We start from the raw sequence: 12,746 nt of genomic DNA, 5'->3' as shown, positions 1-12,746 counted from the left end.
GTGAAATCAGACTACTAAAAGTTCTAGTTATATAAGTTATAGATTTGAAAACAATTTGGCACATATTATAGTGGTTTCAGAAACAGCAATAACCAATCCAAGTTGCTCAATTATACCCGAAGAATGCTATGTTCTTCTCTGTTCTTATTAATGAGAAAAGCAAATAAGCAAGTAGTTCATTAGAAAAGAATTTGTGAAACATTAATACATTTAATAACCTATATGATTAAGAAAAACAGCCTCACTTTAAAACAGAATGAGAGGAGTAATGCAATTGTGGGAATGGAACACTAATTTTGAAATAGTTATAAATTATAGTCCAATATGCATATGTATAGAGCCATATTTAATCTCACTAAGAATTAATCATTAAAACCTTTTTAAGTGTTAATGCCTGAGATCCTTTATAGGAGAATACTAAAAACTTAGAAAAATCAGAAGACTCATTATCACATGCAACGTTTTCCAAAGAAATAGGCAATTTCTTTCACCTTAAGGACATTGAAATGATTGAAATTAATAACTAAGCATTTCACAAAAGTTATAGAACAAAAATAAGCCAATCATTTTCCTTAACATAATTATTTTCTCCTATAGGTAACAAAATATAGTAAAAGCAATAGTACTTAATGGTCATATACTCTATGTACTATGTATGTTAAATATAAACAATATTTAAGAAACATATACTATAATCTTACTTATTTGGAGATCATATCTATCAAACACAACCCTGAAACACAGGAGAGAATCAGGAAGTAAGCAAAAGTCAAATAAACCACAAATGTATATACTAGAGTTCATACATTGGACTCATTTGCTCTGACTTTAAACACTATTCTTTTTTTTTTTTTTTATACTTTAAGTTTTAGGGTACATGTGCACAATCTGCAGGTTAGTTACATATGTATACATGTGCCATGCTGGTGTGCTGCACCCATTAACTCGTCATTTAACATTAGGTATATCTCCTAATGCTATCCCTCCCCCCTCCCCCCACCCGACAACAGTCCCCAGAGTGTGATGTTCCCCTTCCTGTGTCCACGTGTTCTCATTGTTCAATTCCCACCTATGAGTGAGAACATGCAGTGTTTGGCTTTTTGTTCTTGTGATAGTTTACTGAGAATGATGATTTCCAATTTCATCCATGTCCCTACAAAGGACATGAACTCATCATTTTTTATGGCTGCATAGTATTTCATGGTGTATATGTGCCACATTTTCTTAATCCAGTCTATCATTGTTGGACATTTGGGTTGGTTCCAAGTCTTTGCTATTGTGAATAGTGCCTCAATAAACATACATGTGCATGTGTCTTTATAGCACCATGATTTATAGTCCTTGGGGTATATACCCAGTAATGGGATGGCTGGGTCAAATGTTATTTCTAGTTCTAGATCCCTGAGGAATCTCCACACTGACTTCCACAATGGTTGAACTAGTTTACAGTCTCTCCAACAGTGTAAAAGTGTTCCTATTTCTCCACATCCTCTCCAGCACCTGTTGTTTCCTGACTTTTTAATGATTGCCATTCTAACTGATGTGAGATGGTATCTCATTGTGGTTTTGATTTGCATTTCTCTGATGGCCAGTGATGATGAGCATTTTTTCATGCGTCTTTTGGCTGCATAAATGTCTTTTGAGAAGTGTCTGTTCATATCCTTCGCCCACTTTTTGATGGGGTTGTTTGTTTTTTTCTTGTAAATTTGTTTGAGTTTATTGTAGATTCTGGATATTAGCCCTTTGTCAGATGAGTAGGTTGCAAAAATTTTCTCCCATTTTGTAGGTTGCCTGTTCATTCTGATAGTAGTTTCTTTTGCTGTGCAGAAGCCCTTTAGTTTAATTAGATCCCATTTGTCAATTTTGGCTTTTGTTGCCATTGCTTTTGGTGTTTTGGACATGAAGTCCTTGCCCTTGCCTATGTCCTGAATGGTAATGCCTAGGTTTTCTTCTAGGGTTTTTATGGTTTTAGGTCTAACATTTAAGTCTTTAATCCATCTTGAATTAATTTTTGTATAAGGTGTAAGGAAGGGATCCAGTTTCAGCTTTCTACATATGTCTAGCCAGTTTTCCCAGCACCATTTATTAAATAGGGAATCCTTTCCCCATTGCTTGTTTTTCTCAGGTTTGTCAAAGATCAGATAGTTGTAGATATGTGGCGTTATTTCTGAGGGCTCTGTTCTGTTCCATTGATCTATATCTCTGTTTTGGTACCAGTACCATGCTGTTTTGGTTACTGTAGCCTTGTAGTATAGTTTGAAGTCAGGTAGTGTGATGCCTCCAACTTTGTTCTTTTGGCTTAGGACTGACTTGGTGATGCGGGCTCTTTTTGGTTCCATATGAACTTTAAAGTAGTTTTTTCCAATTCTGTGAAGAAAGTCATTGGTAGCTTGATGGCGATGGCATTGAATCTATAAATTACCTTGGGCAGTATGGCCATTTTCACAATATTGATTCTTCCTACCCATGAGCATGGAATGTTCTTCCATTTGTTTGTATCCTCTTTTATTTCATTGAGCAGTGGTTTGTAGTTCTCCTTGAAGAGGTCTTTCACATCCCTTGTAAGTTGGGTTCCTAGGTATTTTATTCTCTTTGAAGCAGCTGTGAATGGGAGTTCACTCATGATTTGGCTCTCTGTTTGTCTGTTATTGGTGTATAAAAATGCTTGTGATTTTTGTACATTGATTTTGTATCCTGAGACTTTGCTTAAGTTGCTTATCACCTTAAGAAGATTTTGGGCTGAGACAATGGGGTTTTCTAGATATACAATCATGTCATCTGCAAACAGGGACAATTTGACTTCCTCTTTTCCTAATTGAATACCCTTTATTTCCTTCTTCTGCCTAATTGTCCTGGCCAGAACTTCCAACACTATGTTGAATAGGAGTGGTGACAGAGGGCATCCCTGTCTTGTGCCAGTTTTCAAAGGGAATGCTTCCAGTTTTTGCCCATTCAGTATGATATTGGCTGTGGGTTTGTCATAGATAGCTCTTATTATTTTGAAATACGTCCCATCAATACCTAATTTATTGAGAGTTTTTAGCATGAAGCATTGTTGAATTTTGTCAAAGGCCTTTTCTGCATCTATTGAGATAATCATGTGGTTTTTGTCTTTGGTTCTGTTTATATGCTGGATTACATTTATTGATTTGTGTATATTGAGCCAGCCTTGCATCCCAGGGATGAAGCCCACTTGATCATGGTGCATAAGCTTTTTGATGTGCTGCTGGATTCGGTTTGCCAGTACTTTATTGAGGATTTTTGCATCAATGTTCATCAAGCATATTGGTCTAAAATTCTCTTTTTGGTTGTGTCTCTGCCCGGCTTTGGTATCAGAATGATGCTGGCCTCATAAAATGAGTTAGGGAGAATTCCCTCTTTTTCTGTTGATTGGAATAGTTTCAGAGGGAATGGTACCAGTTCCTCCTTGTACCTCTGGTAGAATTCGGCTGTGAATCCATCTGGTCCTGGACTCTTTTTGTTTGGTAAGCTATTGATTATTGCCACAATTTCAGATCCTGTTATTGGTCTATTCAGAGATTCAACTTCTTCCTGGTTTAGTCTTGGGAGAGTGTATGTGTCGAGGAATTTATCCATTTCTCCTAGATTTTCTAGTTTATTTGAGTAGAGTTGTTTGTAGTATTCTCTGATGGTAGTTTGAATTTCTGTGGGATTGGTGGTGATATCCCCTTTATCATTTTTTATTGCATCTATTTGATTCTTCTCTCTTTTTTTCTTTATTAGTCTTGCTAGCAGTCTATCAATTTTGTTGATCCTTTGAAAAAACCAGCTCCTGGATTCATTAATTTTTTGAAGGGTTTTTTGTGTCTCTATTTCCTTCAGTTCTGCTCTGATTTTAGTTATTTCTTGCCTTCTGCTAGCTTTTGAATGTGTTTGCTCTTGCTTTTCTAGTTCTTTTAATTGTGATGTTAGGGTGTTAATTTTGGATCTTTCCCCCTTTCTCTTGTAGGCATTTAGTGCTATAAATTTCCCTCTACACACTGCTTTGAATGCGTCCCAGAGATTCTGGTATGTGGTGTCTTTGTTCTCGTTGGTTTCAAAGAACATCTTTATTTCTGCCTTCATTTCATTACGTACCCAGTAGTCATTCAGGAGCAGGTTGTTCAGTTTCCATGTAGTTGAGCGGTTTTGAGTGAGTTTCTTAATCCTGAGTTCTAGTTTGATTGCACTGTGGTCTGAGAGACAGTTTGTTATAATTTCTGTTCTTTTACATTTGCTGAGGAGACCTTTACTTCCAACTATGTGGTCAATTTTGGAATAGGTGTGGTGTGGTGCTGAAAAGAATGTATATTCTGTTGATTTGGGGTGAAGAGTTCTGTGGATGTCTATTAGGTCCGCTTGGTGCAGAGCTGAGTTCAATTCCTGGGTATCCTTGTTAACTTTCTGTCTCATTGATCTGTCTAATGTTGACAGTGGGGTGTTAAAGTCTCCCATTATTATTGTGTGGAAGTCTAAGTCTCTTTGTAGGTCATTCAGGACTTGCTTTATGAATCTGGGTGCTCCTGTATTGGGTGCATATATATTTAGGATAGTTAGCTTTTCTTGTTGAATTGATCCCTTTACCATTATGTGATGGCCTTCTTTGTCGCTTTTGATCTTTGTTGGTTTAAAGTCTGTTTTATCAGGGACTAGGATTGCAACCCCTGCCTATTTTGTTTTCCATTTGCTTGGTAGATCTTCCTCCATCCTTTTATTTTGAGCCTATGTGTGTCTCTGCACGTGAGATGGGTTTCCTGAATACAGCACACTGATGGGTCTTGACTCTTTATCCAATTTGCCAGTCTGCGTCTTTTAATTGGAGCATTTAGTCCATTTACATTTAAAGTTAATATTGTTATTTGTGAATTTGATCCTGTCATTATGATGTTAGCTGGTTAATTTGCTCGTTAGTTGATGCAGTTTCTTCCTAGTCTCGATGGTCTTTACATTTTGGCATGATTTTGCAGCGGCTGGTACCAGTTGTTCCTTTCCATGTTTAGTGCTTCCTTCAGGAGCTCTTTTAGGGCAGGCCTGGTGGTGACAAAATCTCTCAGCATTTGCTTGTCTGTAAAGTGTTTTATTTCTCCTTCACTTATGAAGCTTAGTTTGGCTGGATATGAAATTCTGGGTTGAAAATTCTTTTCTTTAAGAATGTTGAATATTGGCCCCCACTCTCTTCTGGCTTGTAGAGTTTCTGCCGAGAGATCCGCTGTTAGTCTGATGGGCTTCCCTTTGTGGGTAACCCGACCTTTCTCTCTGGCTGCCCTTAACATTTTTTCCTTCATTTCAACTTTGGTGAATCTGACAATTATTTGTCTTGGAGTTGCTCTTCTCGAAGAGTATCTTTGTGGCGTTCTCTGTATTTCCTGAATCTGAATGTTGGCCTGCCTTGCTAGATTGGGGAAGTTCTCCTGGATAATGTCCTGCAGAGTGTTTTCCAACTTGGTTCCATTCTCCCCGTCACTTTCAGGTACACCGATCAGACGTAGATTTGGTCTTTTCACATAGTCCCATATTTCTTGGAGGCTTTGTTCGTTTCTTTTTATTCTTTTTTCTCTAAACTTCCCTTCTCGCTTCATTTTATTCATTTCATCTTCCATCACTGATACCCTTTCTTCCAGTTGATCGCATCGGCTCCTGAGGCTTCTGCATTCTTCACGTAGTTCTTGAGCTTTGGCTTTCAGCTCCATCAGCTCCTTTAAGCACTTCTCTGTATTGGTTATTCTAGTTATACATTAGTCTAAATTTTTTTCAAAGTTTTTAACTTCTTTGCCTTTGGTTTGAATTTCCTCCTGTAGCTCAGAGTAATTTGATCGTCTGAAGCCTTCTTCTCTCAACTCGTCAAAGTCATTCTCCGTCCAGCTTTGTTCCGTTGCTGGTGAGGAACTGCGTTCCTTTGGAGGAGGAGAGGCGCTCTGCTTTTTAGAGTTTCCAGTTTTTCTGCTCTGTTTTTTCCCCATCTTTGTGGTTTTATCTACTTTTGGTCTTTGATGATGGTGATGTACAGATGGGTTTTTGGTGTGGATGTCCTTTCTGTTTGTTAGTTTTCCTTCTAACAGACAGGACCCTCAGCTGCAGGTCTGTTGGAGTTTGCTAGAGGTCCACTCCAGACCCTGTTTGCCTGGTATCAGCAGTGGTGGCTGCAGAACAGCGGATTTTCATGAACCGCGAATGCTGCTGTCTGATCATTCCTCTGGAAGTTTTGTCTCAGAGGAGTACCCGGCCGTGTGAGGTGTCAGTCTGCCCCTACTGGGGGATGCCTCCCAGTTAGGCTGCTCAGGGGTCAGGGGTCAGGGACCCACTTGACGAGGCAGTCTGCCCGTTCTCAGATCTCCAGCTGCGTGCTGGGAGAACCACTGCTCTCTTCAAAGCTGTCAGACAGGGACATTTAAGTCTGCAGAGGTTACTGCTATCTTTTTGTTTGTCTGTGCCCTGCCCCCAGAAGTGGAGCCTACAGAGGCAGGCAGGCCTCCTTGAGCTGTGGTGGGCTCCACCCAGTTCAAGCTTTCTGGCTGCTTTGTTTACCTAAGCAAGTCTGGGCAATGGTGGGCGCCCCTCCCCCAGCCTCGCTGCCGCCTTGCAGTTTGATCTCAGACTGCTGTGCTAGCAATCAGCGAGACTCCATGGGCATAGGACCCTCCGAGCCATGTGTGGGATATAATCTCCTGGTGCGCCGTTTTTTAAGCCCGTCGGAAAAGCGCAGTATTAGGGTGGGAGTGACCCGATTTTCCAGGTGCCGTCTGTCACCCCTTTCTTTGACTAGGAAAGGGAACTCCCTGACCCCTTGTGCTTCCCGAGTGAGGCAATGCCTCGCCCTACTTCGGCTCATGCATGGTGCACTGCACCTACTGTCCTGCACCCACTGTCTGGCACTCCCTAGTGAGATGAACCCGGTACCTCAGATGGAAATGCAGAAATCACCCGTCTTCTGCGTCGCTCATGCTGGGAGCTGTAGACTGGAGCTGTTCCTATTCGGCCATCTTGGCTGCCCTCCCAGAATTGTCTTTAAACGCTATTCTAACATAACTTGCTATTTGATTGCCCAAACCATTGTGGTTACCATCAGTGCTCATCATCAGTTTTTTTTCTGGTTCTCTCCTATCTGGGCCCATGATCATATTACACTGCCTCACTTCCTTGAAATCAGGTGGAGTGCTGTAACTTGCTCTGGCCAGTGAAATATGATTGAAAAGTGCATATATTTCTCACCTTTTACTGATGAGGAAACTGAGACATAGGTTATATAATTAGGCCAAGGTTACAGGTCTAGTGAGCCAGGATTGTGAGCTCAGCAGTCTGACACAAAGCCCCTATGCTCAAAGACCAAACTATACTGGCCCCCCATTGTTGGCACACTAAGCATTGACAAATTAAGAAAACAAAGTTTTACTAAATGAAAGGAAACAGCCTGTCTTAAGAATTGCTGTAGGTAATCTATACAGCAGTTAATCCGTATAAACAGATTAAATCCTACCACTGACCCCTGCAAATAGGGAGAGAACAAGTTCAGACTACAAGCCTAGGGCAATTCATAGCATGAATTCTGATTTCTGTGCTCAAAACTATGTAGTAGAGTTGACTTACATGATTATAATTTTAAGCTGGATCTTAATCAGATTGCTTTCATAAGCCAAAGATGTCACAGGGCAAACCTCAAAATTGGAACTCAGCTTGGGAGGTCACATGGGTTCTTGGCTTGTGCAGGAAAGAATTCAAGAGCCAGCAATAAAGTATAAAGTGATAGAGTAAAGTGAAAGCCAGCAGTAAAGTGACAGAGTAAAGTGAAAGCAACTTTATTAACTAAAGGAATAAAAGGGTGGCTACCCCATAGGCAGATAGCAGCATGGGCTGCTTGACTGACTATACTTATGGTTATTTTTTGATTATGTGCTAAACAAGGAGTAGATTATTCATGAGTTTTCTGGGAAAGCAGCTGAGAGTTCCCAGAATTGAGGGATCCTCTCCCGTTTAGATCATATAGGGTAGTTTCAGGACAATGCCACGGCATTTGTAACTGTAATTGTAATTGTAAACTGTTATGATGTTGGTGGAGTTTCCATTGGTATGCTAATATATTATAATTAGTGTATAATGAGCACTGAGAATGACCAGAGGTTGTTTTCATAGCCATCTTGGTTTTGGCAGGTTTTGGCAGACTTCTTTACCACATCCTGTTTTATCAGCAGTCTTTGTGGTCTGTATCTTGTGAAACAAGTCCTGCTGAATTCCTTTTTCATCTCTCCTCAGAGACTGTGCACTCTTCCTTAATCCTAAAAGGTTGTAGAGGGACAGAGGTTTCATCTTCTGTAACTGCTTCATCCTGAACAGGAGCTGTCATCTCTATCTGATCTGGAGGCATAGAAATCTCTCACTACCTTATCTAATGATTTATAGGGACTCAGTCCTTCCTGCAGTGGCACAGGCTGGAACCCTTGAGTCAATTATCATGTTTGTCTGGAACTTTGGTAGCCTGGAAGATATAAACTTTACCCATCTGAATACCTGTTGAATATAACAAATAATTTTTTAAATGAAATAGCACCTAGTGATAATTAATAAAATGCTTAACCCCAGTTTAACAATGCTTATAGGAAGAGATCAATGCCATTTGAAATCTAAGTGAATAGGCTGGAAAACCAGTACCCTTTTGTCTGAAATACAAAGCCAAACAGATTTTCAATAAGAGGCGTTTTTGTGGAAACAGAATAAAAACAAAGGTTAATTTTGGGCAAAATCTATCCAGATGTTAGACTTAAAGCATCTTTAGTTACAGAAGAGTAATGCAGTGGCAATCTGACTCATTTTTCTTGCCTATATTGCAAGGAATAAGCTTTAGCTTGCAGGGCCTCAGGAAAAAAGGTAGTAGTAATTTTAATGAGCTTAATAGAAAAAATGGAAGACAAATATGAAAATGTTAGTTTGGGTACTTGTTGCTCAGAAAGAATTTAGAAATCAGTCCAAATTCCAGGGGGAAAAAAACCACCTCAAAAACATGGACAAGACTAGAATCTAACCACTGAGCTAATAAATAACTTAAGACACATATGAGAACTTCTGAAGTATAACAAGGTGAATGAAATGTTATCTAACCATAGGCCCCAGCATTCCTCACTAAGACTAAGGAAGGAGTTGTATGGGAAAATCCTTGACAAGCCCTCTTGATATTGTACAGATTATGAGGGAATGAATATTGACTGCCTCTAGTAATCAGAGGATGTGGGAAATGATTCTGTATGAGAAATGAAGAGAATTGTGTTATTATACATTTGAATATAGGGAGGGGGAAAAGAGAAAAAGAGAAAGTTACATTGGAGAGAAGCCAGAAATATGAGTAAAGGCTGAGACTGTACGAGATTAATGGTCAGTGAAATGCCCCATTGGTGGCAGGGGCAAAATCTATTTTGAGAATGGTGGAGCTGATACTTCATGAGAGGGTGCTTGTTTGTTTGTTTGTTTGTTTGTTTGTTTTGATGCAACTTCATAATTTGTCTTTTCAGAAAGCAAGTGGAGAGGGGAGAGATAGAGAAAGAAGGAAGGGAAGGATGGAGGAAGGAAAGAAAGAAAAGAAAGGGAGAGAAAGAGAAGAAAAAGGAGGGAGAAAGAGAAAGGAAGGAAGTAGGGAAGAAGGGAAGAGGGAAGGAAGGAAGCAAAAAAGAAAGAACCTTCTTCACATTATACTAAATTTATGAATTCTTGATGTGAGTGGATTTTTTTGGTGTGGAAATTGAGGAGGGAGCTGAATTTCACATTTAGTGTGATGATTATATAACAGATACAGCACAAGAATACATAAGAACTCAAAGGCCAAGATGAGAATATAAACCTGCCAAGAATATGTAGACATTTTGAAAAAGGCTTTGAATTTCCATAGTATTTCATGAGTTTAGGGGTTCACGTTGATCTTACCTAGATTTTGAAAGACAAGGAAGCTTCAGTTGACACCTGATTACAGAAATCTTTGGATGGCATAGGGTGGCAAGTCCCAGTTGAATGTTGATAATGTTTTGTTTATTTATTGCTTTTTAACCACTTTTTGGCAACTTAATGGTTTAAACACAAACCCCACATAGAGTCAAAGGGAAGGGACATAGACCCCACCTCTCATAGAAATAGTGTCAAAGAATGTGTGGTCATCTTAATTCACCAGATAATAATTTGGATGTAGTTGCAAAGTACCTGTTAAATTTCAAGATTTATATAATACAAGATATGTTATCCTCTGGCAAGGGCACAGGTACCAATATTTAGAGGGAAAGATAGTTTGGGAAACTGCCAAATGAATGTCAGTGTTGTCATTATGTACTAGCTAATGAATAGTATTTAGCCTTATGAATGCATCTTAATGGCTTGCATTTAAAAATTAGATTGAGATTTAAAGTGTGGTTACTAAAATTAACATTTTAATCTGGGTAATGACATAGAATGATTACATTAAACCTTTGATTTGGGTGAAAAAATGGTGAATGAATTTCTCATCCCAAGTTGAGGGCCCACTCAAACCACTGGAGAGTTGGCTTCATACCTTTGGATAAAACAAAAGCAAAAACGGCATATCTCTTTGGTCAAGAAGTTTAATTAAAAGAGAATTCAGCTGGACATGGTGGCTCACACTTGTAATCCCAGCACTTTGGGAGGCAGAGGCGGGCAGATCACCTGAGGTCAGAAGTTCAAGACCAGCCTGGCCAACATGGCGAAACCCCTTCTCTACTAAAACTACAAAAATCAGCTGGGTGTGGTGGCACGCACCTGTAGTCCCAGCTACTTGGAGGCTGAGTCAGGAGAATCTCTTGAACCCAGCAGATGGAGGCTGCAGTGAACTGAGATCAAGCCACTACACTCCAGCCTGGGGAACAGAGTGACAGACAGAGTCTCAAAAAAAAAAAAAAGAAAAGAAAAAGAAATTGAGAATTCAGCCAAGATGGGCAAGGTCTCAAATTGACCGCAAACTCTATTGGCACCATTTTTGCAGCAGTGTGTGTTTACTTTGTGTTTTTGTGTCACATTTTGGTAATTCTTACAACATTTTATACGTCTTATTATATCTGTTACAATTATCTGTGATCAGTGATTTTTAATGTTACTATTGTAATCCTTTGGGGCACTATGAACTGTGCCCATATAAGGCGGTAAACTTAATTGATAAATGTTTTGTGTTCTGACTGCTCTGCTGACCAGCTCTTCCCCATCTCTCTCCCTTTCCTTGGGCCTCTCTGTTTTCCAAGACACATCAATATGGAAATTAGGCCAAGTAATAACCCTACAATGACCTCTAAGTGTTCCAGTGAAAGGAAGAGTTGCACATCTATCACTTTTAATCATAAGCTAGGCATGATTAAGCTTAGTGAGAAAGGCATGTCAAAAGGTGAGATAGGCTGAAAGCTAGGCCTCTTATGCCAAACAACCAAGTTGTAAATGCAAAGGAAAAGTTTTTGAAGGAAATTAAAAATGCTGTTCCAGTGAACATATGAATAATAAGAAAGTGAAACAGCCTTTTTGCTGATATGGAGAAAGTTTTAGTGGTCTGAAGAAAAGATCAAATGAGCCACAACATTCTCTTAAGCCAAAGCCTAATCCAGATCAAGGCCCTAATTCTCTTCAAATCTATGAAGACTGAGAGAGGTGAGGAAGTTGCAGAAGAAAAGTTTGAAGCTAGCAGAGATTCATGAACTTTAAGGGAAGAAGCCATCTCCAAAACATAAAAGTGTGAGATGAAGCAGCAAGTGCTGATGTAGAAGCTGTAGCAAGTTATCCAGAACATCTAGCTAAGATCATTGATAAAGGTTGTTACAGTAGACAACAGATTTTCAATGCAGACAAAACAGCTTTCTACTGGAAGAAGATGCCATCTAGGAATTTCATAACTAGAGAGGAGAAGTCAATGTCTTCAAAGCACAGGCTGACTCTCTTGTTAGGGGCTATGGTAAGTTGCTGGTGATTTTAAATTGAAGCCAGTGCTTATTTACCATTTTGAAAATCCTCGGGCCCTTAAGAATTATGCTAAATCAAGCCAGAAGTGGTGGTGTACACCTGTAGTCCCAGCTACTTGGGAGGCTGAGGCGGGAGGATCACTTGAGGTCAGGATTTCAAGACCAGTTTGGGTGACAGAGTGAGATTCCCTGTCTAAAAAATAAAAAATAAAAGAATTATGCTAAATCTACTCTGCTTGTACACTATAAATGGAACAGCAAAGTCTTGATGACAACACATCAGTAAACAGCATGGTTTGCTAAATGTTTTAGGCCTCCCATTGAGACTTACTGCTCAGACAAAAAGATTCCTTTCAAAATATTACTGCTAATTGACAATGCACCTAGTCACCCAAACACTCCGGTGGAGCTGTACAAGGATATTAATGTTGTTTTCATGCCTGCTAATACAGCATTCATTCTGCAGCCCATAGATCAAGAGTAATTTCTACTTTCAAGTCTTATTATTTAAGAAATACATTTTGTAAGGCTGTAGCTGCCATACATAGTGATTCCAACAATGGATCTGGCTAAAATAAATTGAAAACCTTCTAGAAAGGATTCACCATTCTAAATGCCATTAAGAACATTTATGATTCCCTGGAGGAGGTCAAAATATCAACATTAACCGGAGTTTGGAAGAAGTTGACTCTAACCCTCATGTCTGAATTTGAAGGGTTTAAGACTTCAGTGGAGGAAGTAACTGCAGATGTGGTGGAAATAGCAAGAGAACTAGAATTACAAGTGGAGCCTGAATATGTGACTTAATTGTTGCAGTCT

At 39.3% G+C, this 12,746-nt stretch overlaps 1 protein-coding gene across 4 annotated transcripts in view, besides 1 other annotated feature; it reads left to right on the top strand.

The window, feature by feature from the left end:
- PDE11A (phosphodiesterase 11A) overlaps positions 1 to 12,746 on the top strand; it is a 485,096-nt gene that overhangs the window by 315,949 nt on the left and 156,401 nt on the right. The window lies entirely within an intron of this gene.
- Positions 8,203 to 8,252: an enhancer, noted in NCBI's record as "active region_16800". NCBI's record gives its function as "activates an Ori minimal core promoter by ATAC-STARR-seq in GM12878 lymphoblastoid cells {active_cell/tissue: GM12878}" and the evidence as "EXISTENCE:reporter gene assay evidence [ECO:0000049][PMID:35858748]".

This window comes from Homo sapiens, chromosome 2 (assembly GCF_000001405.40).
Source record: "Homo sapiens chromosome 2, GRCh38.p14 Primary Assembly".
In the NCBI taxonomy this organism is placed as follows: Eukaryota; Metazoa; Chordata; class Mammalia; order Primates; family Hominidae; genus Homo; species Homo sapiens.
Note: the sequence above shows the minus strand (reverse complement) of the source record. Positions and strands in the feature narration are given on the sequence as shown.